General features: G+C 54.1%; 2 protein-coding genes across 2 annotated transcripts in view, besides 7 other annotated features; one reads left to right on the forward strand and one right to left on the reverse strand.

The window, feature by feature from the left end:
• CDH23 (cadherin related 23) overlaps positions 1 to 27760 on the forward strand; it is a 419028-nt gene that overhangs the window by 350444 nt on the left and 40824 nt on the right. The window lies entirely within an intron of this gene.
• Positions 193 to 26157, reverse strand: VSIR (V-set immunoregulatory receptor). The gene is made up of 7 exons (NM_022153.2): positions 25995 to 26157; positions 14235 to 14663; positions 13505 to 13561; positions 7996 to 8103; positions 5612 to 5639; positions 4305 to 4498; positions 193 to 3927 (listed from the first exon to the last, which is right to left on the reverse strand). Exons 1-7 carry the CDS (start codon positions 26074 to 26076, stop codon positions 3890 to 3892), a joined length of 936 nt encoding a protein of 311 aa, NP_071436.1. The 5' UTR covers positions 26077 to 26157; the 3' UTR covers positions 193 to 3889.
• Positions 635 to 844: an enhancer, noted in NCBI's record as "active region_3518". NCBI's record gives its function as "activates an Ori minimal core promoter by ATAC-STARR-seq in GM12878 lymphoblastoid cells {active_cell/tissue: GM12878}" and the evidence as "EXISTENCE:reporter gene assay evidence [ECO:0000049][PMID:35858748]".
• Positions 1230 to 1279: an enhancer, noted in NCBI's record as "active region_3519". NCBI's record gives its function as "activates an Ori minimal core promoter by ATAC-STARR-seq in GM12878 lymphoblastoid cells {active_cell/tissue: GM12878}" and the evidence as "EXISTENCE:reporter gene assay evidence [ECO:0000049][PMID:35858748]".
• Positions 1480 to 1609: an enhancer, noted in NCBI's record as "active region_3520". NCBI's record gives its function as "activates an Ori minimal core promoter by ATAC-STARR-seq in GM12878 lymphoblastoid cells {active_cell/tissue: GM12878}" and the evidence as "EXISTENCE:reporter gene assay evidence [ECO:0000049][PMID:35858748]".
• Positions 10232 to 10767: an enhancer, noted in NCBI's record as "H3K4me1 hESC enhancer chr10:73517352-73517887 (GRCh37/hg19 assembly coordinates)". NCBI's record gives its function as "activates a minimal SCP1, AML or CMV promoter by ChIP-STARR-seq in naive H9 embryonic stem cells {active_cell/tissue: H9 hESC(naive)}" and the evidence as "EXISTENCE:reporter gene assay evidence [ECO:0000049][PMID:30033119]".
• Positions 18974 to 20173: an enhancer, noted in NCBI's record as "P300/CBP strongly-dependent group 1 enhancer chr10:73526094-73527293 (GRCh37/hg19 assembly coordinates)". NCBI's record gives its function as "activates an origin of replication core promoter dependent on BRD2, BRD4, P300/CBP, MED14 and CDK7 cofactors, with strong dependence on P300/CBP, by STARR-seq in HCT116 cells {active_cell/tissue: HCT116}" and the evidence as "EXISTENCE:reporter gene assay evidence [ECO:0000049][PMID:35650434]".
• Positions 25957 to 26036: a silencer, noted in NCBI's record as "silent region_2465". NCBI's record gives its function as "represses an Ori minimal core promoter by ATAC-STARR-seq in GM12878 lymphoblastoid cells {active_cell/tissue: GM12878}" and the evidence as "EXISTENCE:reporter gene assay evidence [ECO:0000049][PMID:35858748]".
• Positions 26057 to 26386: a silencer, noted in NCBI's record as "silent region_2466". NCBI's record gives its function as "represses an Ori minimal core promoter by ATAC-STARR-seq in GM12878 lymphoblastoid cells {active_cell/tissue: GM12878}" and the evidence as "EXISTENCE:reporter gene assay evidence [ECO:0000049][PMID:35858748]".

The following is a 27760-nucleotide window of genomic DNA, read 5'->3' on the forward strand; positions in this document are numbered from 1 at the left end:
CCAGGCCAGGGCAGGCAGAGCACAGATAGGAACGTTTCTGGTGTGCAGTACAGTGGAGCCCTGGACCTGTGGGCACAAGTTCATCTCCCAGAGCCCTTGTATGTGCTCTAAGCAAGTCCAAGGTGAAGGCCAAGCCAGGCCCTGGCCCATAATACCAATCCATTCAGTGAGGAGGAAGCAGGAGACCCAGGGTTTAGTCGTAGTTCCACCGTTTACTTGTTTTGACAAGACACAGACCTTTCAGAACCTCTATTGCCCTCTGTGTTAAATGGCAGCAATAAAACCTCCCAGGATTTTCAGGGAAGGGGGTGGATCAAACAAGTTACAACACATGTGAAAGTGTGTTGGAAAGCACCAAGTATTCTAACAGAAAAGGCCAAGAAACAGCATGCATGCTGCCACTTCCCTCTCCCGTGCCCAAGGCAGACATGGCTATCTATCTCGGCACTGTCTCACCAAGCTATATTGATCATTCAGAATCCCTCTCAACACATTCCAGGATAGTTAGGGTGACATAGCCTCCATGGGGTGAAGAGAAGCAGCAATGCAAAGCAGGGAATGCCCAGGGAATGGGCCAGGTGGCCTGTGCCGTCTATGGGCTGGGCCTCATGCTCAGCTGGGCTGTGGCTGGGCTTCAAGAGGCCTTTGTTCCCAGCATCCTGGTTAGCAACCCCAGTTCCTCTTTCGTGCATTGTGGTTCCCTGAGAAAACGTTAACCCAGCCCCCAGCACAGTCAGGCCAGCCCTGGGGAAGGCCTCATTCATGAGGCAGGACCCCAGGGGCCAAGTTGGTGCTCGGTGGTGGCAGGACCCCTGCAGCCCCCTGTCCCACTGCACACTCCCAAGTCCACCCCGCGAGGAGCACCCCCTGAAAAAGGCCATGTATCAGCCCCTCTGCCCTGGGCCACTGCATGTAGTGGGAGCTCTGGTCAGGCAGAAGTCTTTTGAAAAGCAGGTCCTGGGGCTCCTGCACCTCCACCCCAGCGCCCATCGCCACGGACTCCCCCAGGCAGGGCCAGCCTGCCCACCAGCAGTCACCAGTGGCCTCCATGGTGTGTTTTTAGGGAGTGCTGAGCAGTCCCCGCTGTGTCAGCAAAACCCTCCAAATGGTGCTTTCAATTCCATTCCTTCAGCCTCTCCCTGGGAGGGAATAAAGGCAGGAAGTCTCTATTAAACTGTGAATGTCAGGAGATAGGTAAGATGGCCCCTAATTCCTGATTGATCTCCTAACAATGAATTAGTTCTTAAAAGCATGGATTTCCCTCTCAGGGCCTCAGACTGTGCCACGAATCCAGCGCTCCAGGAGCCTCCTGCCCCAGCCCCTAGTGCTCCTCCCGCCCCCTGGAGGCGCCATGTTCTCGCACCCAGCTCTCCCATGCACCCCAGCCCACAGCCACCAGGGCTGGCATCAGAGGCACTACCATCCCGGGCAACTCAGAGGGCGGCTCCAGCAGCCTGCCCCTCCCCAGCAGCAGCAGGGAGGGACGTCCCTAGTGCGTTGTAGGCAGGGCCTGTGGCCATGGATGAAGATGGAACTGGGAGCTCAGAGTAAATTTCGCTGAAAACAGGAAACCACGAAGCCCAGATGCGTTCAGTTGTAAAAGGGTCCAGAGAAGAGAGGGCAGGGCCGCACCAGAGGAAGCTGAGGAGGAAGTGCGGTGGCTGTTCTGCTGCGGGCCGCCTCCCTCTCCACACAGCAGCAGCCAGGCCTGGGGTCTGGCAGCCAAATTCTTAGAAGTTGTCTCTGCCTCAAGGTCAGCAGCTGAGGGCTGGGGCCAGGCCAGCCTCCCCAGAGGGCAGGGCATGCTCTTCCTGAGTTGGGAGAACCGGAATCTGGGCTGTGGGCTTGTCCTTCGACTCCAGGAACAGCAGGTGTCCTGTCCCCACTCCTGCCATGCAGGCCCCCATGAATTGTGAAAAACATACCCTCTTTCCTTCTTTCTTTCTTTTTAAAATTTGTTTTGAGGCAAAGTTTTGCTCCGTCCCCAGGCTGGAGTGTAGTGGCTCGAACACAGCTCACAGCAGCCTTGAACACCTGGGCTTAAGCGGTCCTTCCACCTCAGCCCTGCAAAGTGCTGGGAGGACAGGTGTGTGCCACCATGGCCAGCCAGCACCCTCTTCCTATGGCAGCTGGCATCAAGCATTGTGGTGACCAGAGGGAACAAAAGAAGGGACCCCCCTCTGCCTAGGGACAAGGGAGAAGCCGGGGTTTGGGCATATTCTGGCCACTCGAGGTGTCAGCCCCATCTCCGGGCCTATGTTTACCCTCTCCTCAAAGCCCCTGGCCCAGCCCAGGCAGAGCAGGAGGCCCTCAGTGGACCATTCCTTTGGGCCTAACTGGGGGGCTTAGAAGCAGGGCCATGTGTCCAGGTGGGGTTCCCTGGCTGTAGCCACAGGCCCAGGGCTCACTGCTGCCAGGCAGCCTAGAGGTGCTCCCCTTTTCCATCCCCCCAACCCCCCAAGCAATTGGGCGAACATCTTCCCGCCTAGCCCCAAATCCTGGCTTTCAGCACCCAGGCCCAGCTCAGCAGAGCCAGTGTAGGCTGCTAGGAGACAAATGCCCAGGCTGGACTATGCTCTCCACAGTACCTGGGGCCCCCATCCTGCTAAACGCTACAGGGGGTCTGCCCAGCCCCACCTCACCTGTCCCCATGCTCAGGCACTGCCTTCCCTGTTTTACCCCCAGAGTGTACAGAGATGCCCCCTACTCTCCTCCCCTGCTTTAAAATCCTTCAATCACAATTCCACAGAGGACTCACCTTGCCTATGTGTATAAAAACAAAGCCAGGGCATGCCCACAAGCAGGAGATGGGAACATCACCCGCACCTGGCCGAATGGCTCTGAAGCGAAGACTCCACCAGGCCCAGATTGTATGGAGTGGAAGGTGGGGGTGGGGGAGGAGCAGCAGAGTGCAGATTTAAACTGGCTCTTACAATCCATCTCCAGGGTTTGCACCTGTTTCCCCATGTAGTTTTTAATAGCATCCCGCTTCATACTCAGAAGTGTCCCAGGGTGGACAAGACATTGTGTGGCACCCTTGCAATGGCCCGCGCTGAGCAGTGGGAGTAGGGGATGGGGAGGGCGGGGGGCAGGTGCCCCTCTCCACTCACCTTCCCAGAAGGCCCCACCCACCTCCCTCAGCACCATCTCCAGTGGGTGGGGCAACATCTGTCCTGGCCTCAGATTGCCCAAGACACCATTTGCTCACGGAGGCCACCATGCCCCAATATGTACTTCCCGTTTCGGGACCACCAAGCTCTGGGGACTGGAATGCAGGCAGTGGAAGCCCCAGATTGACTTAACCTGTTGACAGATCTTCAGAGAAACTGCTGGTAGGAGGCAGCTGGGGAAGGTGGCGATGGCCAGTGGGCAGGCAGGCCTGGCCCCAGAGCCACTGTGGTACAAAGAGGAAGTCTGACAGAAGAGCAGCCTCGGGCAAAACGGGGGAGCCAAGGCGGCCACGGGGGAGAAGTCTCTCCACCGTGCCCTGTGTCTGGTGCCTGGGAGGGTGGCCCAGTGTCCATCTTGTCCCACTGATGCTGCCACATCCCAAGGCTCATGTCTCAGAACGAGAGCTGCTGAAGGGCTGGACGTTCTGAGACTTCTTAAGATGTAAGTCATTTGGCATCTGTAGCTGGTGAATTTCAGGTCTCTAGGGGAGAATCTCAGCACCCCAAAATCCTTGGAACAGGGGCTGAGCCGTCCAGCATCCCCATGTAGCATCCAGAGGGGTTGAGGGGCTGGGCTTCTGGGATGTCACAGTATCTGAGCCCAGAGCAGGAGGGAGGGAACCAGGGCCGAGGCCAAGGAGGCCACTCACAGAGCCAGCCCTGGCTCAAATGCACCTGCCCCAGACCCAGCCACAACAGCCCACTGTCCCCCAGCTGGGCTAGATGACCTCAAAGTTTGGAGAGTCAGGGACAGGGTCTGCAAGAAAAGGAGAAGCAAAGTGAACGGGGCCCCTCTGCCCCTCACCCTCAACCCCACCCCGTGAGGCCGTGGAACTCTTCAGGGAGGTGAATGGGGGCCCCTCTGTCCCTCACCCTCAACCCCACCCCGTGAGGCCGTGGAACTCTTCAGGGAGGTGAATGGGGGCCCCTCTGTCCCTCACCCTCAACCCCACCCCGTGAGGCCGTGGAACTCTTCAGGGAGGTGAATGGGGGCCCCTCTGTCCCTCACCCTCAACCCCACCCCGTGAGGCCGTGGAACTCTTCAGGGAGGGCAGGGAGTGAGGCCGATGCCCTGCAGGCCATGAGGTCATGACCTTACAGGTCATCGTGCTGTGAAGGTCAGGAAACACTTACCCAGGGATGGGAAGAAGACGTCTCCGGGGCCTGGAGGAGACAGGGGGGTGCTGGGCTCCGAAAGCAGATGCCGCCCAGACTCAGAAGGCTGCCGCTGGGCCACATAGGACAGGGGGTGCCTGACTTTGGCCTCGGGTATCCCCTGGGCAGGTGGTGAGGCTTCAAAGCCGGGGTTTTCAATCCCTTGAATGTTGCTGCCACAGAACCAGAATGGAAGGTCATCTGTGCTGTCCGGAGCGTGAACTCTGCCCTCCCTGCCCCCAGTTTTTCTCTCCTCCCTTTCTCTCACCTACATCCCCATCCCCAAGCCTCAGCAGCATCTCCAAGCAAGAAGGCAGGAGCCAGGCCCACAGAGCAAAGGCCATGGGCTGCACCTGCCCACCTGTCCTGAGCTGAGGGCATCAGGGCCCACCAGAACAGACCCCAGCTCCTCCCTGTGGTCTGACCATCAACCCCGGGCACAGCCAGGAAGCCAAAAATCACAGACACTTCTAGAACTTCAGCCTCAGGAATTTGGGGACAAGTTTCTCTTTGGTCAATAGAGTTGATGGCATTAGGATCGAACATCCCCAAAGCCTGTCTTGAGCTGAGGGGAGGGGTTCTCTTCTCTTCCCAGTTGGGAGTGGGATAACTTCTGAAGACCCCTGCAACTCTTAGATTCTAGATGAGTTGCAAGCAGGACTTCCTTCAACCTGTCTTGAAGATCATCCCTTTCAAACACCTAGAGGAGCTTTGTGTTTGGTGTTGCAGGTACCGGGGCAGGAACTTGGGTTCCCTGAACACACCCTCCAGGCCAGGCTGCATGGCAGCTTCCTGCCCAGAGCACACCAATACACAGTCCCCATCCCCTCTGCCCCTAGACCCAGCCCACTGCACCACTCTGGGACCCCTCAGCCTCTGCCCTTGTGGCCTGCAGCGGCCTAACAGCTTTCTCCTTGGAGTTCTCTGCGGGCAGGAGGCACAGCTCAAGGGCTGTGGCTGGGGCTGGGCCCGCTGGCCTCCTTTGCATGTCTCACTGTCTGCCCCAGACAGTGCTTCCTCCCTGTCCCCATCCTGGCCCAGGCTGACCACTGAGACCCGAAGGTGGGTGCATGACACATCTGAGCAGAATCAGAGCTCAGCCTGCTGAGTCGGGGTGGCAGGAGAACAGCCAATCTGCACAGATGTGCAGGCTTCAGCAGCAGATGGCAGAGGCTCTTCTGACCAGCTGCTCTAGGCAGCTAAACAGGGCCCCTACTGCACAGAAGTATCTCTTCCTGGATAGCCGGCCCAGGAAGTTTTCTCAAGAAGGTCTCCATGGGCCTTACCTGTCCATCCGCACCAGCTCCTGGGCACCTAGGGACAGACAGACAGAGAAGCTGGTCATGGAAGGGAAGGCTTCCCCATACAACATCCCTGCCCCTGCTGGCAGATGCCCTGCAGGGAACAGGAGCGAGCCCAGGAGGGCCCTGCACAGCTCCGGACTCCATTTCTTTTCACATGGGTGCTGTCCAGCAAGCGATCTGCGTGTCTGTCCAGCAGATGGGGCCTCCATGAGGGGCCCATTTTGACGACTGATAAATGAAACTCTATCTGCATTTTCCAGGAGTGTAAGAACGCTATCTGCCATCAGGAGACCAAAGGCAGCCAGCGCTTTCTCCTATGGCTTGACTTACACAGTGTCAGACCTTCAGGATTTAAGTATCGAGCAAAGGTCAACTCTTGAATTTGCTAACTGGTGTCTCTTGTTTGAACATTTGCCAGGTTCTGGTCTTTAGCCATGACTTACTGGGTGGGAGTGTTTAAGGTCAGTTCCTAATTAGAGGGCTCCTGGTCCTCTCTGTCCTATCCCCTACATTGCCTAATAGGGTGGCATTCTAGGGGACATCTCTCAGGGAAACCTTACAAGGTGCAAGTCCCCGATCACTTCCCAGCCACTTCACTCACTTTCTGCTTCTCATCCAAGTTGCTGCCGCTTGCCTCAGCCTTGGGACACCCCACCCCCCAAACTGGCCACCAATTAGATGCAGTGACCCCAACTTCCCTCTTTCATGCAGCACCCCATGTCCTCCCACAGATGCTTCTCGTTTTAAGGAGATTTACTGCTGATTACGATGGGGAAACAGATGGTGGGGGAGGGGCACAACAACAGAACAAACACAGGGAAGTTACCCAAAAGTTCCTGAAATCTATTCAAACCATGGCTATTGCTTACAGCCGACTCATGGGTCAGGCTTCGTGCAGGTGCACACGGGTATTCCCTCATCTCATCCTCTGTGCCACCCTTTGGGGTGAGGGTTGTTGGTCCCATTTTAGAGCTGGGGAAACTGAGGCTCAGTCCAAAGCAGGATGGAAATCCACACCTGTTGGCCTCTCCAGCAAACTGCCGTCCTCAAGGCTCCCAGCCCTTTCCTTTTCTTTTTTTCCTGAGAGTGCCTCATTCCTGAGCAGGCTCTCTGGGCCAGCCTTCCACCAGGGAGGGCACAGCAACACCTGCTCCCCCTGCCCTGCTGCCCAGCGTTGCTCTTCTGTTCCAAGCCCTTTACCTGCCCCCACCCACCCCCAGCCATGGGTATTCCTGCAGGTAGGTTGTGGTGTGTTCTAGGAGAGGAATAGGGGAGTTCTGAAAGCAAGGGTGAGGTGGCCACAGCCCCCGAGTGACCCACTATGGGGCTTCACGTGGGGGCCCCCGGGAATGAGGGGAGGGAGGGATGACAAGTTGTTAAGGGCCGGCCACAGGAAATAAGTTGCGAGCCAAAAGCCACCTGGCACCAGAGCAATCCTTTCTCAGTTACCTCTGTAGCCAGGCAGACGGGAAGAGGCCAGGGAGGGGAGGCAAGGGTAAAAAACTCCCTAGCCCCTTCTTGGAGGACTCAGACTAACCAAGACTCAAGGGCAGGGTCAGGAACTAGGCAAGGGGCACTGTCACCTGGCCAGGGTGGGAGGTGAAAGATGTTTGTGCCCATGACTTAAAGCCCAGCCCCACCACTTATTTGCTGTGTGGTTCCTTAGGCAAGTTACTTAACCCCTCTGTGCCTCCGTTTGCCCATCAGTAAAATGGGGACAATGGTAGGACCAAATTCTTGGACTTGCAATGAGGAGTAAGTGAGAGCATTTTTATTATATGGTGGACTTCTATTCCCTGGAAAGAGCATGCGTTGAAAGCTCTGAGATTGAGTCCTAGCTCTGCCACTTACTAAGTTACGTAACATTCAGTCAGTTATGTAACCCCACTGATCTTAGCCTTCTCATCTGGAAAAAGAAAGGGTTGAGCTAAGTTGTCTGTAAGACCCCTTCCACTTCTGATATTCCAAAGATCATTTTTTGTCCCAACAATTGCTACTAATTACAAAACAAGCACGCCCATACCTTAAACAGGTCCCCCAAGGATCTCTGAGTGGCAGCAACTTGCTTTTATAAAGCAACTTGAGCTACTGCATATGATCATTCATTCAGAAGACATGTATTGAGTGCCGAGCCAGCACTGCCTGGGAGCCAAAGGGGCTGGTGGGCACTTGGCCCCCGGAAATGGCATGCCTCCTTTCTCTCGGCCATTTCGCCCAGCTCCTGGCGGGAAGTGCAGCTGCTCCCAACTCTCAAATGAAAAGGAATTGTGCCTGCATCGTGCCTTTGCGAATCCCAGGGGCTGAACTGGGGGCTGGAGCAGGTCACTCGCACCGTCCACCCACCCCAGGCAGGGAGGAATACTCACGGCGGTTGGAGGCTGCCTGCCTTTGCTTGTAGACCAGGAGCAGGATGAGGGGGAGGCAGAGGATTCCTACGATGCAGGCACCCGTAGCCAGGGCTGCAGCCGTGATGTCTGAAAGGGCAGAGAGGTAGCCAAGGTGAAGCCCCATTCCCATTGCTCCTCCTGAGCATAAACTGAGGCTCAGAGAGGGAAGGCCAGGAAGCAGGAGACCCGCCTTTCCCCAGAGTCCCACAGCTAGACCCCCAGCAACCTACAGAGGCATGGAAGATAAGGCGGTTCTCCTTTCAAAGAGAGCCCTGTGCCTGCCGCCCTATGCCCCTGGAGCACTCAGAAACAAGACCTGTCACCTACAGCTCAGGCAGCTCCAGGCAAGAGAGGGAACAGAGTCCTCATCCCAGCCCACAAGGTACAGCTGGAACACCCTTGGCTACAGGTTGTTCTCTGAAAAGGGAGAGCAGGGCCTTCGCAGACCCCATGCCACAGAGCTCAAGGTCAAAAGAAGCCTAAGTGATGAAAGTTTTGAAAATAGACAGTGGTGACGGTTGCACATTGTGAATGTAATTAATGCCACCAAACTGTAGGCTTAAAATGGTTGAAATGGCAAATTTTACATTATATATGTTTTATCATAATAGATAAAAAGCCCCAACTCATCCCAGAGACTCCTTAGCTCTGGGATGGGGCCTCTAGAACCCCTTGATCTCACCACACAAGTCACAGGAGAAACACCCGGGGTGAGAACTAGAAAAACGTGAATCCTTGTACAATGTTTTTCAATTTTAAACTTATTAAACTACCAAAAAAAGTACAAGTTTAAAAAATATTCGAATCTCCTCCTCCCCTTGTACCAAGACCCCCTCTGAAGAGATCATCCCTGTGTGCCGGTTTTTGTGTTATGGTCCTAGTTATATTCCCTGCAAATACAGCAGACGCAGCATCATATGACAATGCTTTTCCCACTGAGCACAGCTTGGACATCTCTCTGTCTCCCCTGCCTCATTCTGCTTAGAGTTTTATCACATGGCTCCCACTAAATTTATTGAAGCAGTCCCCTGTTGGTAGACATGTTGTTTCCATTTTCAGCATAACTAATAATGTAGCAATGAACTTGTGCACGCAGCCTGGCTCACTCAGCAAGGAAATCTGTAGTAAATTCCTAGCGGTCAAAGTGCTGAGCCAAAGAGTATGTGCATTTTCTTTTAGGCTATTGCTAAATTGCCCTCCAAAAAGGTGTACACGAAGCTTCGCTGTCCCAACAGCATGAGGAGGTTTGATTTATTTCAGGGCATCTGCTGACTGCAGGAGTTTAGCTGGGAACAGACGTGCCCTCAGAACCACAACCAACATAAACGCATTTCCTTCCCAATTTTAGCCTTTCCCAGGGCCAAAAGATGGGCTGGGATACCTTGTCACAGTGTCAACTTCGCCCCAAAGAGCTCTGAGAGGTAAATGGCTGTGGTCTAAATGTTGCCTTTCCGCTATTTGTTTGGGAATAAAGGCTGTTTTTGTTTTGCTCTACAATCCGACAGCGTAAACAAGCTTTCAGGAGGTTTGTTCATACTGCAAATGAGAACAAACTGTTTTCAGTCACTTTAGAAGTACCCACTGGTACAGGAACAGTTGCTATGCTAATTACAAAGCAAGTTCCGCTCCACATTACAGCAGGTTCCCTGCAGATCTTAGCAAGGCTGCATTTTGACGTGGAATATTGAAAGTAAAGACATTCTATAACCCAGACACCTCAGTATTTCAAAACCCCCATCAAAGGACCTTATTGTGGGCAATATTTGAGAAGCCAGTTGCAAAGCACTCTCTTCTAGTGATCAAAGCAGGTCTCCTCTGGACGGCTAGTAAGCAACATTTTGTGAGCTTTGCCAGGTGCTCATTGATACCTGTTCCCTATCTGCCTTTGGAGGGTGAGCTTGGCCAGATATCCCTGCCTAACTTCTATCCCCAGGTAGAGATTTCCCCTATGTGGACCCTCTATCAGATCAGGACTTAATTTCACTTTGAGAGCCTGAGGCTTCCTTACGATCTGGGCTGAGTTGAGGCTGGGGCAGAGGGGCGCAGAGGTTTGGGGACAAGTCTGTGGATCCAGCTGCTTTCTGAAGCCGTAGGCATCTCTGCAGAGCTCAGCCTCGCCACAGTTCCCCACCCCTTCCCCCAAGCGTGGCCAGTGCCTGGGCTGGCACTCACAGGGGAAGGCAGGCATACTCACTCACCATCCAGAGCCAGGCTTATCCTGGGAAGGTGATCAGGCGCTGGCAGAGGTAGCTGCCGACACCGCACTAAGGAGTGTGCCAGGCCCTGACACAGCAGGGTGGGATGGGAGGGGCCTGGCCTGCTCAGGCGGCCTTTGTCCAGGGCCTGCCTGGTAGCCCACGGGGATATATGGAGGAGGGAGTTCGGCTGCTGAGGGTTGGGCTGCCTGGTTTCCCAGGGAGGAAGCTGGGTGAAAGCAGACAGCACATTCTGCTGCGCTGGGGGGTGGGAAGAAGTTCAAAGGGAGATGAGCTGCCTAGACCCCTTCTCTGAGCTCACTGAGAAACCACAGCCCCTCAGCAATGCAGGAGCTCCTTGGGCACCAACTTCTCTAGTCTCATTCCCCTACCTCAGGTTAACTTGTACTTTCATGTTATTTCATAGTCAAGCTACACTCTTACTTCCCAAGGATAACATTAAGAGGCTGGCACTGGGGCTGGGCATAGTGGCTCAATCCTGTAATCCCAGCACTTTGGGGAGCCAAGGCGGGTAGATCACTTGAGCCCAGGAGTTCGAGACCAGCCTGACCAACATGGCTCTGACCAAAATGCATGTTCTAATTTTGCTCTTGGCCTGTTTGTTGGTTTGAAAAAAGGGTAGCTGAGTAAAAAGTCACTGTAGCCTTTGAGTTGGGTTTTGTTGGGTCCGTGGTTTAGCTGATCCCCATTCCGGCTTAGGTCCTCGTGCATGTCCTCCTGGATGCCTTTGTATCTCCAGGGCCTAGCAGGGGCTGGTCCCCACTGGATGTCTGACACATACAGGGTATAGAGGGGTGTGGAAGCCAAGACCTCTTCTCAGAAGAGGGAGGTGCCCTTGCATTTTGTCTCCAAGCTGCTGGGTATTCTCACCCAACCTCTCAGCGCCAGGCACCCTTAGGGCAGTGCCCTCTTACCCTGTAGGGCACCTCTCTGGCAAGCACCGGGGGGCTAACTGCTACCCACTGCACTGCCCCAAGCTGGGAAGAAGGTGAGTATGCAGAGCTAAGCAGGCCTGCAGCCAGATCCCAGCTATGCTACCCTGGGCTATGTGAGCTTGGGCAAGTTAGCATACATCTCTAGGCCTCTCTTTCCATGGATACAGAGAAGATGGTGATGCCTACTTCATAGAGTTCTTATAAGAATTCCCTGAGGCTAGGCATGGTGGCTCACACCTGTAATCCCAGCACTTTGGAGGTCAAGGTGGGAAGATCAATTGAGCCCAGGAGTTCAAGACCAGCCTGGGCAACATAGCGAGAGTGCATCTCTACCAAAAGTGATTTTTTTGATTTTTTGGGACAGAGTCTCGCTCTGTCACCCAGGCTGGAGTGCAGTGGTGTGATCTCGGCTCACTGCAACTTCTGCCTCCCAGGTTCAAGCAGCTCTCATGTCTCAGCCTCCCGAGTAGCTGGGATTACAGATGCCTGCCACCATGCCAGGCAAATTTTGGGTTGTTTTTTTTTTGAGATGGAGTCTTGCTCTATCAGCAGGCTGGAGTGCAGTGGCGCGATCTCGGCTCACTGTAACCTCTGACTCCCGGGTTCAAGCGATTCTCTTGCCTCAGCCTCTTGAGTAGCTGGGACTACAGGCGTGCACCACCATGCCTGGCTAATTTTTGTGTTTTTAGTAGAGATGGGGTTTCACCCTGTTGGCCAGGCTGGTCTCGAACTCCTGGCCTCAAGCGATCTGCCTGCCTTGACCTCCTAAAGTGCTGGGATTACAGGCGTGAGCCACCGCACCTAACCCCAAAAATAATTTTTAAAAATTCACCAGACATGGTGATGCGTGCCTGTAGTCCCAGCTACTTGGGAGAATGAAGCAGGAAGATCACTTGCATCTGGAAGTTTGAGGCTTCAGTGAGCTGTGATTGCACCACTGCATTCCAGCCTGAGTGACAGAGAGAGAGTCTTTCTCAAAAAAAAAAAAAATTCCTGAGGCCAGGCGTGGTGACTCACACCTGTAATCCCAGCACTTTGGGAGGCCGAGGCAGTTAGATCATTTGTCAGTAGTTTGAGACCAGCCTGGCCAACATGGTGAAACCCCAGCTCCACTAAAAATACAAAAATTAGCCAGGCATTGTGGTGCACGCCTGTAATCTCATCCTAGCTACTCGGGAGGCTGAGGCAGAAGAATCGCTTGAATCCGGGAGGCGGAGGTTGCAGTGAGCCCAGATCGCGCCACTGCACTCCAGCCTGGGTAACAGAGTGAAACCGTGTTTCAGAAAATATACACACACACACACACACACACACACATATACACACACACACACATATATATACACACACACACATATACACACACACATATATACACACACACATATATACACACACACATATATACACACACACATATATATACACACACATATATATACACACACACATATATATACACACACACATACATATATATACACACACACATATATACACACACACACATATATACACACACACATATATATACACACACACATATATATACACACACATATACACACACACATACATACATATATGTGTGTATATATATGTATATACATATATATGTGTGTATATATATGTATATACATATATATGTGTGTATATATATGTATATACATATATATGTGTGTATATATGTGTATATATATGTATATACATATATATGTATGTATATATATGTATATACATATATATGTATGTATATATGTGTATATATATGTATATACACACACATATATATATATATATATCCCTGAGATAATAATACTTAAAAAGACTTAGTCCAGTGCCCAGCACAGTGGGAACTCAGGAAAGGTAGTTCTGTTCCCCTTCCTGAACCTCTTCCTCCTCCCTCCCCTGCAACAGAGAACATCTGAAGAACATAGAAACACAGAACACAGAAATCTGAAGTAGTTTAATTCTAGGCCAAGAGGACCCCCAGCCTTCCCAAGCCATAGGGGGCTGGTGGGCAGGGCGGCACTTAGCTGCCTGGGGCACCCAGTACCTGTCATGAGGCACTTGCCCTGGCCAAAGGTCACTGCCAAGGCACAGCCACTCCAGAGAGTCAAGAGGAGCAGAGACTCCAGAGCAGATGGAAGGAGAGTGGGCTTCTGGGGATTGCACCAAGGAGGAAGCAGAAGGGATGTGCAGCAGCAGAAAAGGAGGAGGACCGGGGGGTTCTGAGGGCTTGGGGTGATGAGGCCAGAGTTCCAAACAGGGTCTGGGTGCAGGATGAGGACAGAAGAAAACAGAGAACCCAAAAGGGGCAAGAGGTTGGTCCCTTACTTTCACTATCCTGGGAGGAGGATGGGTACACCACACAGTTGGATGGTGCATCTTTGCCTGTGGGAACAAACAGAAGGGCCATTAGGTGGGTGTCAGGCCCAGGAGGCCAGGGAGGCTTGTCCAGGCCAGTGTCCCCCTCCTGCCCCAGGTTCTCACGCTAGTGCCTACTCGGCAGTGTTGGCCCAGTGGCAGCCTGCACACGTGTGCACCCACACACACCCTGGCATGTTCTCACCCTGCCCATTTTCATGCCACTCCCAGGGGCATGTGAATACCCGCTGGTGCCCACACCTCTATCCGAACCATGGGCCCTTGCACTCTCACCTGAACAGACAGACACACACACGCATATATTCTCCAACAGCCATTCAGCCATCCACTGAGTCATGCCCCAGGGCACCAATCAGTCCCACTGATGCCTATACCCACAGCAGCCATGATGTCATCATGAGCAGTCACACTCCCAGCCCAGGTACCTACAGCCTCACACATTAAAAAGTCTCACTGTCACAAATGGAGCCAGGTACACCCTCCCTCTCCATCACTCCAGCTAACTACAAACCCACACTCCACACACCCTTGACCACCCCATCTCACCCACACACTCCCTGGAGTGCCAGTGTTACCCATGCAGCCTCACACTCTGCCCAGCACAGTGTCATGAATGGTCACACCATCAGACAGGCAGCCCTCCACACACGCCAGGCTGTCACGTGCAGGATGCCCTCACCTGTCTGCACCTGCAGCTCCATGGCACCATGGACCCTGTGCTCCGAGTGGTGGTGCCTGATCTCCACCACCAGGCAGCAGTAGAGGCCGCTATCCAGCAGGGTCAGGTTGCGCATGGTGATGGAGAAGTTGCCATGGTGGTCGGAGGCCGACTCCAGCCCGTGGCGCTGAGCCAGGTCGTGGCTGGTGTTGGCAGCCTGGTGGCCTCCATGGTGCAGGTGAAGGTCCTGGAACGTGAGGTTGCGGATGGGCCGGCGCTCTGAGCAGGTCTGCACCTCGCCCCTCGAGCTGCGGTACCACGTCTTGTAGAAGGTCACATCGTGCCCTTTGTCCACAGGGCCCAAGAGCCTGCAGGTGAGGGTGACGTTCTGCCCCTCGGGACAGACATACAGGGAATACGGCGTGGCGACCTTGAAGGCTGCCACCGGACCTGCTCAGAGAGAGGAGAGCCCTGTCACCTGACTGATCCAGTGCTACTCCTGGCAACCCCAGAGCGGGGAAGAACCTTAGCCTCTGCTACTTCCCAGCCACAGGCCAGGGGCATGTCAGCTGACCTCCCTAAGACTGCCTTCTGCATTTGTTCACAAACCCCACTCCATCCTAGGCTGTTGTAGGGGGAGTCACAGAAGCTTCCCCAACTAGGGGTGCTCCTGGATGCTGGACAGGGCAGGGAGAGACTTGGAGGGCAGTGATGCAGTCGGGTGTGTCCCTCTTCCCAGTAGAGTATATGCAAAACCTGTTGGGTGGGAGGCAGGTTGGGGAGCAGGAAGGCTGTTTCGAACAGCAGCTCCTTGTCCTTGGCCGCTCTGTAGGGGCCATCAACACCTCTGCCCCTTCCTACTCCTAGGACTGAACATGCCTTCCCATCCTTGCCAGGGAGCACTAAGAGAGCACCTGCGTGTGCAAGGCCTGGGCCAGGTGCTGCATCTCACCTGCATGCTGAATGCATGGCCTCCCCTTGAGCAGACGAGGCCTGCATTCCCGACAGCAGAACCCCATGGCAAAGGCAATCCAATGCCAGCCCTCAGGGCACTTGGAGGAGGGAGGAAACAGCCTTCTGGGGACAGTCAGGGACTTCCTGAAGGAGGGAGAGTCTTTGGACTTGGTGCATAGATAGGATTTCAGCCAGTAGAAAGGGTGTCCTAGGCAAGATAGTGTGAAAATGGGAAAACCCAGTGTCTGAGGGACCGGGACAGAGAGTATATGAAAGGTCATCTCATCCATGCACGTCCTTCCAGCCAAACTTAGAAAACTGTCTAGTTCTGTTTGGTTTTTTTCACCAAGCAAATGAAGCAATTCCCTGGTCCACTTTGCCTTATCCCAATCCTCCAGCATTTAATTGGGTTGACCCTCAAAACCATGAGCTTTTGAAAACAGAATATTGGATAGAGGCCGCGTTTCTATCTAACTGTATGAGCCTCAGTTTCCTCCTCTGTGCAGTGAGAAAACTATTGGCTACAATGCAGGGTTGCAAAAGGACTAGATGAGGGAAAGATGAGAACACAAGATGTGAGCTCTAATGCCCTCTGCAGACATCTGAGGGATAGCTATAATTATTATGCGTTGGTGTTATTTTTATTTATTTATTTGTTTTTGAGACGGAGTCTCCCTCTGTTGCCCAGGCTGACCTTGAACTCCTGGCTTCAAGCAATTCTCCTGCCTTGGCCTCTCAAAGTCTTGGGATTACAAGTGTGACCCACTACGCCCGGCCAGTGGTATTTTTATTTTAAATGGCATGTCAGGCTGTTGTGGGTCTAGCAGAGAGGGAAGGAGGGTTAGAACTATGTACAGAATCCAAACTGATACATCCTTTTCATTGCCCCAGCCAGGGGCATTGCCCAGAACCAATATAATGCCACATCCTCCTTCAGATGCCCCTTCCCTGCCCTTAGAGCCCAGGACCCTCGGCGGCAGGCTGGGACCCACTGGAAGAGCTGAAAGCCTTGCCCAGCCAGGAGGGAGGCAGCCTGGTGGGGCTTCTGGAGCTGGCCAGCCTGTACTGGACCAGTAGCTGTGAGCCACTTAGACGCTGAGCCCCGACTCCTCACTCACAGATGTTTTTCCCAGAAATGAAAACATCTCCCTGGCAGAGTTGAGGCAACGGTTAGTAATAATTCACATGAAGTGTTCTGTAAGTGCCATGCGAGTAGTCGGCGCTTGGTACTTGGGAGCTAGACAGGTCTCTAATTCATTCAGCAAGTCAAGAAGTGCCTCCTAGGAGTGAGAAGCACAGTGGGATGGAGAAGCCAGCTTTAAAGTCTTTCCTGCTAAGGTGTGAATGACTGATAACAACTTGTGATCCGATCCTGGGGCGCTTGTGTTTAAAGGAGAGTCTCCAAAGGCACCAAAGCCCCAAACGGCATGTCTGCAAGAGTGGAGTTTTAGGCAGAGAGCCAAGTCTGGGAGCCCCAGATTTTTGGAGTCATTGTCAGGGTGAGCAGAGATTTCAGAACTTCTTTGGCAAGATACAGGTCTCCTTTTCAGGCAGAAACACAGAGACCCAGAAAGGGAAAGTGGTTGGACTGAAGTTCCAAAGTTCCAGAGGGTATGATCTCAAAGCCTGGAGCATGGGGGACTTCAGGTAACGCAGGATCTAGGCAGAACCGTAATAAGAAGACACAGCATGTGTTGTGCACTACGCTAAGGGTTTCATGGGCATATCTAACAATGCCATAAGGTATTGTTTTTATTCCCATTGCACTGATGAAGAAACTAAGGCACAGAGAACTTACGTAACTCACTGATGATCACACAGCAAGCAAGTGCTAGAGCTAGAATTAAACTCAGACACATAGACACTATACTGATGAAAAAAAAGGCCAGAAACTGGGAGCCCACAGGCCACATCCAGCCTTCACACATATTTCATTGGATCCTCAAAATCTTTTTAATTTTCTTGAGATGGCAACATTTAAAAACCAGGAATTTGACATGAAAATTCTGACTTCCAGCTCTCCTTAGAAAATCAGAAGATAATGCTAAACCAGCTTTCCCACAGGGCAACTGTCAGCTGGGGCTCAGTAGCAGCTTTTGGGGGGCACCGGCACTCCAGTTCGCCAGAGTCCGTCCGTACTACTCCCTAATAATTCCACCTGGCCTGCTTCACTCTCTCACCGTGGTTTCTTGGTCCTGTGGACATTTGAGTTTGTGATGAATGAGTGTGGCTTCTTGGGCTAGCTGGCATGGGACTCTACTGCCCAAACCCATTATGCTACAAATCTGACCCACAGACTCAAGAGAGGAGATGATCCACCCAGGGTCCCCAGGGAAAGCCTGGCAGTGCAGGGACTAGCCAACTCTCCTCTGCTAACCCACTGCCCTTACCCCTGCAGCAGGCTCAGTGGAAAAGGAGCCCCAGGAAGCTTGGCTGTGCCCCTGGTTTTGTCCGTGCTGGCCTGGACTTCCCCTTCACACCTGAGTGGGGTGGGTGTAGCTGCAAAACTATGGCTCTGCCGGGAAACAGAAGTGAGGAGGACCTAGGGAAAGGGCTCTCCCACGTACTCCCAGGAAGAAACAAAACCTGCCCCAAGGGGGCCCTGTGCTGCCCCCTTCCCCAGCAGGCCATGTGGCAGGTCCCACCAGCACCTCTCCCAGCTTCTGCCCCTTTCTCCCTTTGCCTGACATCACCTCCTACCCCAGAGCCACCCCAGGGCTGGGAGCTGAATTCAGCTCCAGCTTCAGCTACGGTAGTATTTACCACCAGCACACATACCTTGGGGGCTGGCCAAAGGGCTGGCTCAGCAGACACGGGGCTGCAGGCCAGAGGAGGGTATGGCAGGGCAGGCAGAGTAGAGCTGGCAGCCAAAGCAAGATGCGCAAAGCTGAGCTGGGTGGGGTTGGGGGCCCTCAAGTGGACAGAGGTGTGGACAAGTGGGGCTAGCGTGGTTGTTGGCCTGAGTGTCCCTGTGAACAAGGTGGGGCAGGGCACCAGGCTGGGAGCCCTCAGGGTCTAAGCAATGGGGTTAATGACCCCAGGATTGTACCCATAGCACCCGCAGCAGTAGGGAAGGGATGTTCTCCCCTGGAGGCAACTTCCTTGAGATGCACGGCGGGTGGGTGCATCAGAGAGAAAGCAGAGTTCAGGGAGTACGGGAGAGGGGGCATTGCTCAATCCCCCACACCTCCCCACCCCTCACACACTGGCCACCCATCCCACAGGTCCCAAAGGAGTTGTTCCCCTTTTAGAAAAAAGCTGTCTTAGGATTCAAGTTTGGGGAGCAGGGGAGGATGTTCAGTTTTCAAGCAAGAGGGCCAGACAGGAGAGGGTCCAGGACAAGCCAGAGGGACAGGACAAACCAAGGGTCCACAGGGGTTTGTCCTGGGGAGGGAGGGAAGGCCAGAAAACACCCCATTTACTGTGTCTGAGACTCCAGCTGGGACAAGGCCCACAGCAGCCTGTCGTTAGGAGGACACTCGAAGGCATGGCATGGGGGAGAGGGGCAGCGCACAGCACGCAGAGGGGCCTGCACGTGCCCCGCGGACTCCACATCTGTGCACATGCCTGTGTGTTGTCAGGGAAGCTGTGCAGCCCGGCTAAAATTACAATTCTTTGGCGAGAGGATGTTGCTTATTGTCAGGAGCAGATCCTTTTGGACACCTGGGTCATTGTCGGAGACCGGGAAAAGTGGGTGGGGAGGAAAGCCCCTGGCTCCAGGGTGGCCAAAAGCATGTGGGACAGGAAAATGACCCGGGGCCTGGGCCTGAGCATGTGCCAGGCGGGAACCGTCCAGTTGCCGTGCTGCTGTCAAGACCCAGGCCCCCCGCCCGCCACCCGCCACCTGCCACCAGGTAAGGAGGCAGGGCCACCTAGAGGAAGAGTGCCGTGAACCTGGGAAAGCCTGAGTCTCAGGAGTAAAACTCTCGCTTGGATTGCAACGTCCTGGGGCCTCAGTGTCCACTTAGTTGTGCCCTCATTGTGTGCCCTTGGGCAGATCCCACCCTTCTCTGAGCCTCCGTTTCTTCATCTTAACCTGAGGGCTGCCAGCTCTAAAATCCTGTGGGCAGGAGGGAAGAGCTGTCTTATGACCATGTATTATGTGCTAGGCTCTTGCTGAGCATCTTATACCTGTCACATTTAGTTCTCATAACACCCCCAACATGGGTGGTATCATCCCTATTTTAAAGATGAGGAAACAGACTCAGAGAAGTGACTTGCCCAAGGCCACACAGTGCTGTGTGACTGAGCTGAGATTCACACCTTGGACAGGCCAGCACTGCAGACAGGAAGAGCCACCCACCTCTCCAGAACCCTCCAGTGGGCAGGCGGGGCTGATGCCTCATCCTTCAGCTATTTAGAAAAAATGAACTGACCGTGCATTGACCTCCACGCCCTCCGTGCAACATTCCTGCTCTGCCTCAGACCCAAGCTGAAAACATCATTCTTTCATTCCACAAATATTTACCAAGGTCCTAACATGGGCCAGGCCCAGGCAGGGAGGCTGTGGGGATGCAGAGTTCCATCAGGGGCATCTGCTCAGAACTTGGGCCTGGACCTGTGCCTGAGATTTCTAGCTGTGGCACCCTCAGATGTTTCTGTCCCAGTACAAGGGAAAGGAGCTCTTGTTGGCATCTTCTCAGAATGCCAGTTTTTGTGACCTTCACCTCTCTCCACCCAGCAGGCCCCGGGTGACCCCTGTGAGTGTGCACGGGATGGGTGTGTGTGGGTGTGGACAGGCCTGTGTATTTTTCATGACAGGGCGTGAGCTTAGCCCACAGTCGCCAAGGCAACGCCCTAGCCTTTGGAGGTGGGACCCAAGCTTGGTTAGTCGGGCCTAGGAAGCCCCACCCAAACAGCTGAACTCTGACCAGCTGCTAGAGGTTGTCAAGTAAACAGTTATTAATTGCCTGCTGTGGCTGGCCCTGCACTAGATGCAAAAGGTCCCGTCCTTGGTCTCACAGGACATCCCAAAGAGAATGGGACCTGGTTCCAGCTCCCCGCCAGGCCCCATCCCCCAGGATGGTCCACAGGCTGGGGCTGGGGCTGTAGGAAAAGACTATGTTCTGTCTTTATCAAGATGCAGAGGGAAACAGAGGCATGGATCAATCAGGACTGGGGCTGCCAAGGCTAAGAAAGGAAGCGTCACAAGGCATAGGCTCAGGGCCTGAAGCCAGCAAGTCTGCCCTGGGGCTTTCTGGCCAGTGAGGACAAAGGGCATCTCAGATGTGTTTATTGATACCTGCCCCCGCAGGAAGTGTCCATTCACATCAGACCAAGGGGGCTGGGAAGGGGAAGCCAGGCTCTATTGAAGGAAGCGGCACTTCCAGCACCTTGGGAAAGCCTCCGTGCATCCGGGGCTGGAGCTGGAGGCTAGCATGCCTCCCCAGGGAGGGCCTAGGCAGCTGGCCAGAGGTCCCGGCCCGTGGATGCTTCTGTGGATGAACCCCTCCCAGACTCCCCAGGCCCTTTTGGAGGAGGACTGTGTGCAGCTCAGGCTCCCGGCTCCAGCCAGCCACCCTCACGCTTCTATGCTGTGAAGACGTCCTCAGGGTCCAGCTCAAGTCTTTTTGCCCCCTACTACTCTGTGCCAGGCATCATTCTAAGTGCTTGTTTGTTTGGTTGGCTTTGTTGCTGTTGTTGTTGTTGTTGTTGTTTGAGATGGAGTCTCGCTCTGTTGCCCAGGCTGGAGTTCAGTGGTGCAATCTCAGCTCACTGCAACCTCCGCCTCCCAGGTTGAAGCAACTCTCCTGCCTCAGCCTCCCGAGTAGCTGGGACTACAGGCACCCGCCACCACGCCTGGCTAATTTTTGTATTTTTAGTAGAGACGGGGTTTCACCACGTTGGCCAGGCTGGTCTTGAACTCCTGACCTCATGTGATCCACCCGCCTCGTCCTCCCCAAGTGCTGGGATTACAGGAGTGAGCCACTGTGCCTGGCCGTTTGGTTGGTTTTCTTTAGTGAGCTAGGGTCTTGCTCTTCACTCAGGCTGGAATGCAGTGACAATGAGATCATAGCCCACTGTAACCTCGAACTCATGGGCTCAAGTTATCCTCCCACCCCTGCCTCCCAACTAGGACTACAGACACATGCCACTATGCCCAGCTAATTTTTAAATTTTTCATAGTGATGGGGTCTCGTTATGTTGTCCAGGCTGGTCCCCTGGCTTGAAACTCCTGGCTTCAAGAGATCCTCCCACCTCAGCCTCCCAAAGTGCTGGGATTACAGGCATGAGCCACTGTGCTCGGCCTCATTCTAAACACTTTTACATAGATTAGTTTATGTAATCCTTCCACCCTATGAGGTAGGTACTAGTATCATCTCCATTTTACAGATGAGAAAACGGAAGCACAGAGAGATTAGTATCTTGCCCACAGCCTCACAACTAATAAGTGATGGTGTCAGGATCTGAACCCAGGTAGTCAGCCTCTGGAGGTCTGGTGCCATCTGACTACTCTCTAGAGAATAGAGGTAGCTGGGGACTGACTGGAGGCCCCACCTCCTTCTTGAAGACGGACAAATGTCATGACCAATGAAAGCCCAGCTTGCCTGGCCACGTCTACCACATAGTTTTACTTTTGGTTTTACATTAAATAACATTGAATCATATATAGAAGAGGTTATTCCCTTTACAATTATTTCAGTCCTGATTACATCAAAGAGAAAGTCTCAGTTTGATGCTAATATGTCTCTAAAACATTTGCTAATCTCCTTTTCTTTTTAAATTTTATTTTATTTTAATTTTTTGCAAGGGAAAGCAGCAGTTTTCAGACTCCGAGCCTTCCCAGGCTAAAGTTTCCAACTAGAATTCAATACCCTTATATGGTTTTCCTGTTACGTTCTTTTATGGTTTTGTTCTATTTATGACAAGTGATACTGGCTTTCCACTAATGACAGCGATAAAAAGTTTCCTTTTAAAGATCTACATACTCAAATAAAAGAATGAGTAGATTTAAAGAAAAAAATAAGTAAATATTATGAAAGGCAGACACTGCAGAGATCACAAAGGTGATAAGCAAATGACTGAAGCTAGGGAAACACCATCATGGAATTAACCTTCAGAGGAGGGTGGTCAGCCTCACTGAGACCACGTCACCCAACCTGTCCATTGCACAGACAAAGGGGAAGTGTGTGTTTGTGTTCCCATGATGAGTGAACAGCAGAGGCAGGGTTTGACCCCAGGTCCCCATGGGAAATAAGATCCTACGCAGAAAGGCTAAAGGAATGGGCTTGCTTGGCTTGGTAAGTAGCAGAGCAACCTCATTATTGGATTACTGATGAGAAAGATGGTGGCCACTGTCTTTGTCTTTGGTGATGGCCAGCCAAAGTGAATGGACCGAATGTAAAAAGATCAGATGTAAGAAAGATCCACCAAGATAAGCAAACCCAGGGCCAGGCTTGCCTTCAAGTTGCAATGTCCCCATCTCCTGACAACTTTAAGAAGAGAACCTGTAGGCACCTCCATGGGCATTTCAGACTGTGAGGGCCTACAGGGGCTCACAGGTAGCTGGACGCAGCCCATGCACCCTTCATACTCCAGGCTTTGGAGAATCTAGTCCCAGTGAAGCTCACCAATGCCTTCCCAGGCCCTGGGCACTCCATTAGGCCCTGTAGAGAGCAAGCAGCTTAGATAGAAAGCCAATGGCATGTGGCCTGCAGAAGCCAAGAAATACCATAATATTACACAGTATTCACGAGGAGCCGGGTGCTGTGTTAAGTGTTCGTTCATTGGCTCTTCACAGTTGCCCTCCAAGGGAGGTGGTATCATCTTCCCACTTTAGAGGGAGGGGAACTTGCTCAGGGAGACTGAATAACTTGTCCAATATCACAGAGCAGTAAATGGCCATCTTGGGATTTAAGCCTAGGTCTGAGTGACTCACAAAGCCCAAGAGTTAAGCAAGGGGCTGTACGGAAGCCCTGGCATGCATGTCCCTGGCTTTGCCATATACAGGCATGCTGGGACTGCAGCTAAGGGCATCTGTGGGGCCACTGGAAGCCACAGTGCTGATCCCTGGCCCACCCTCCCCTGGGAGACCAGACTGACCCTGGGTCATTGGTTGGCTAAAGCCTGGGGCCTCAAGTTTGGTATGTGGGGCTCGCTCACTGCCAACGGGTTCTCCTTGAGGATCCCTTTCTTCCTTTCATCTGCTCAGGCCTAACACCCCATACACTGTGTGCGGATAGGGAGGTGACCCCTTTAGCGTCTCAGCAGCACACTCCTGCCTGGACCACCCTCTCCCAGGAAGGTCAGACCCCAGCGGAACCTTTGCCCTGCTTGGGTGGAAGCATGAACAACTAGTACAGCTCAGCAAGGGACTCCCAGTATTGCTGGCCCTTGGGTGTCCCTGGCATTGGGTAGATGACCCCTCATGCCAGGGACTGGCCTCAAGGCTGTTCCTCTCTACTCCAGAGCCTCTGGGCAGTGGGTTGTGGATTTCCTAAGAGCTGACCATTGCTGCGTCAGAGGCTTGCAGCACTGGGTTACTCAACAAGGCCCTGCAGCCTGGTTTGCTATGAAGGAGAAGATGGGGTCTCTCGTCCCTAGCCCCAGTGCACTTAAATGTGCTAGTCCCAGAGGTTGGGAGTCCTGAGTCAGCCTGTGAGGACAGGGCAAGGACAGTAACTGCCTCGGGTCCTGGGAATGTCTGTGGGGAAGAAGAGGCTCTGCTACCCTTGAGATCTGCTGGGTCCTGGTCCCTAAGTGTACCTCTCCACCCATCTCACCCTGAGTCAGGCCCAGGAAAGGGGTATCTTTGGTGTTTCCTGGGCTTCTGAACACCACATTCATCACTACCATTCTCCTCAGTGCTGGCCCAACCCCAAGAGCTGGAGAACAGGCTGGCCCCGGCCACTCTATCTCACTTTCCCTGGCATAAAGGCTTTGACCTTGGGCAACATACCCAGGGCAACCCAGCACCTCGGCAGGCTGGTGATCAATCTTCTCAACTTACAGATCCTGCTGACCATGCCTGCAACCAGGCCTCCCATCTGCTATCTCCCTCAGTGCACACTGTCCTAGGGAGTTGGGTGAATATCTATTATAGTGTGTCCATGTCACAGTTCAGAATCCTGAGGTCCCAGAGCAATTCAAATGCTTCTGGCTCCTTTCAGTGGAAAGCTGCAGCCAGCCTAAATCATCTCCCTGTGCTGGGCCCAGGAAGAGATGACCCTTTAGTATACCATGTTGTTTGAGTAGCCAAGACCTCTGGGAGTAAAGGCCCCTGGCCATATAAGCAATATAGGGGAAGGCGTCCTGAGCTCCTCTTGGGGCCTCTCTGCTACTGGGTGCTCTGCAAGCTGGGTCCCTGTGCCCTGGATCTCTAGAAATGTTTCTCAAATTGGGGCTGCTGAACAGAGGGCAGCCCAGCCAAGTGAGGGCAGGAAGTGGGCAAGAAAGCAGGAAGGGTCTCACAGGGCCACCAGGGAGGGCAGTGCAGGGCAGGTGGCCCATGACAGGTGGGATGCTGGCTTGCCTGCCTGCCACCATCCTCTGTTCCTTCTGGAAGCCATGCCCTGCCATGAGCCATGGCCTTGGTGCTGAGACTGTCCATTCCACCTCCCATTCTCCTCCTCCCTCTGACTGTCACCTTGAGAAGCATCCACCCTGGGGCTTAGGGCAGCTGTGTCTGTGACATGTGGAGCCCTCCTCCTCCTCAGAGGCCCAGGCCAGCCTCCAAGTGCTGAGATAGCCAGCTGCCTGTGGGCACCCAGGTTGCTAAGGTATCTTCCAGGTTCAGCCTCCTCCTCTCCCTCTTATCCTATCACCCTCTCCTTCTATTCCATCCTGCCCACTGGGTCCCTGTGCCAAGCCCTCCACCTCCCTCCTGCCTCCCTCCGAGTCCCTGCATGACTCATACTTTCCCTGGGCCCTCCCTATAAAGTTTGGTTCCACAGGCTCTTTGAAGAGATCCAGCCTCTTCAGCTCTGGGCAGGCAAGAACTAGGCAACCAGGCCATGGGTACCAGGGCCTCTGCCCCCAGCCCGGGAGCCCCTGTGTTGGGGCCAGGATACTATCTGAACATGCTGACAGTCTGGACTTTGGAAGGGGAAAATGGTGCTTCCCTGTGTGGGCTTCTGTGTTTGAGCTGAGGAAACTGAGGCCAGAGAGATGCCGTAATTTATCCAGGGACCCAGAAGGGGCTCATAGCTGAGCTGAAGAGTGTCCCACATCCTCCCCAGTACTCCACACTGGTCCCTGAGTGGCAGCCTTGCTAGGATGGCAGGAATCAGCTGACCACTTATTCCTGGGCCATCAGACCCTTAGAATAGGGACCAGGTGGGCAGTGCTGCCTCTGTGTCTGAAAGTGGACCCACCGTGACCAGTGCCCAGTGCCCACCAAGGCTCAGCCAGGGGTTTCACCAGGGCATGGGGCACTGGCTGAGCATACCACGCCCTCTGTGTCCTCTGCAACACTAGAGCCCTGAGACTAGAGGGGCAGAAAGATGCCAGCTGTCAAAAGCCAGTGATATCCACCAGAACACACTGACCGCCCCCACCCTGTGCCTCTCCTTCTTTGCAGAAGCTACCTGTGCCCTGGGTTCTCTGGGCAGGGAAGGGCTGGACAGGCAGCCCTCAGGGGACAGCCCTGCCTGCCACTTGGGCAGCTGTCAGAGCATGCAGATGTGCCCGATGCCTAGCTGGGGCACTTGGCACAGTTGCCACTGCACCCTGCCTAGGGGTCCCAGCAGCCTCTGGGCGGTGGGTGGAGTGGGGTGCACGGTCACACAGGCTGAGAGGGCCCCCAGGACGCCCCCATCCCACAGTTCCCACTCCAGTCTGCTGTCTTCTCCCAGCTTTTTCCCAGCGCCCCGCCTCCCCCGACCTTACCTAGGGACGCAGCCAGGAAGAGAGCGAAGAGCAGGGATCCCCAGCGCCAGCTGCCGGCCTCCAGGGCCGTGGGGACGCCCATGTCGCCGTCGGACGCGCAGAGGAACTTCTGGTGCCGGGGAGCGGGCGGGACGCGGCCGGCGCGGGGAAGCCTCCCGCGACTGAGTGCGAGCGAGTGAGCGCTGCGGGCGGCCCCAGCGCCGTGCTCCAGGCACCCGCCCCCTTCGCGCAGCGCCCCCGGGGGGCCGTGTGGGGGAACTGCCTCTCCGAGGGCCGCGTGGGAGGGGCTTCCCGGAGGCCGGCCCCGTGGGTGGGGAGCCAGCGTGCGTCCCAGCGAGTCAGCTCCACTTGATCGGCAGTTTAAAGCCCGTTCTACCGTCCCCCAGTCCTTTTGGAGAGAAATTATTATTGCTGCGCAGCCTAAGAAGTAGATCTACCTCTAACAGCGTGATAGACGTTACCATGGCTTGCATCTGCCCTCAGCCACCAGCCTTTGAGTGATCTGGGGACAGAGACTTGTACCCTACATCCTCCAGCCAGACCAGGGCTTGGTATGTGGTAGGCACTCCCAGCTGTGGAATGAGTGAGTAAATGAGTGAATGAATGAAATCTGACATTGTGAAGAGCTAGGCAAGCTGGAGCCAGTTTAACTGTAGATTCAGAGCCTGAGGCACCCTGAGTGCATGCGCGCGCGCACACACACACACACACACACACACACACACACACACAGAACAGGTGCAGGACTACACGCCAAGATCAGCACATCCCTACCCCGGGACACACACAGATATGCAGGCAACACCTGTTGGCGTGCCCCACAGCACATCCTGCAAGCTCCCCTCCGGCAGAGGCCTCAGCTGTCCGCCTGGCTGTGCACCCGCCCTCCCTCCCTGGTGCCTGGATATCTGCAGGACACTCTGATGCACCCTAACTTCTAGTGCCTCTGCTCTTGCACCCACACCCAGCACTGCTGGCACCACTGGAATGTCTCTCCCCTCCTAATTCTTCTCATCCCTCAGGGCTCAGCTCAAGTCCTCCCACTTCACGAAATGTCCTGACCCTTCCTTTTTCCCGGCAAATCCTTACTGTCCACACCCCCTTCAGCTACCACCTCCAGCCTGAGATAACCAGCAGTTGGTTCTTCTTCCGGCTGTTCTGCCCTCCAGAGCGAAACTACAAACCTCTCTCTGATGTTTCTGAGACCCTAGCACAAAGCTGGGCGTGGAGAAGGTTTTACTGCACTTTTATCTGAATGGACAAACCAATGAGTGAGTGAGTGATTGTGTGATGGAGGAGCAGAGGTGATCGTGGCCAGGACCAGGGATCACAGGAGTGGAAGAGCACAGCCATTTTACTCAGTTTACCCCAGTCTAGCTGAAGCTTCCAGGGGTTTTTCTGGCACTTTAGGGATCTTGGGTTAATAGGTGACTCCTAGGCTGAGAGGCAGAGGACACTCAGAGTCTGACTGGGTCAGGAACCAGGGTATCAGGACTCAATGGGAGCCAGGAGTCCTGGGGGCCTTGTGGGTGGCCTGATCCAAGTCACGGGCTCTCTGGAGGCCCTTAGCCCTTGCTCTAAGGGCAGGGAAGGCTACAACAGAGGAAGGCTGAGGCATCATGTTATTACTAAGTGAACTTGTGCAGGCCCAGTCCCCCTGGAGCCAGTGAACTCCCCAGGATGGGAGCCCCAGAGGCTGGCAGGACATAACCCAGGTCCTTGGGCATGCTCCTGGCCTTGTGACCCCACCTTGGAAGGCAGCCCAG

The sequence above is a fragment of the Homo sapiens genome, chromosome 10 (assembly GCF_000001405.40).
Source record: "Homo sapiens chromosome 10, GRCh38.p14 Primary Assembly".
In the NCBI taxonomy this organism is placed as follows: Eukaryota; Metazoa; Chordata; class Mammalia; order Primates; family Hominidae; genus Homo; species Homo sapiens.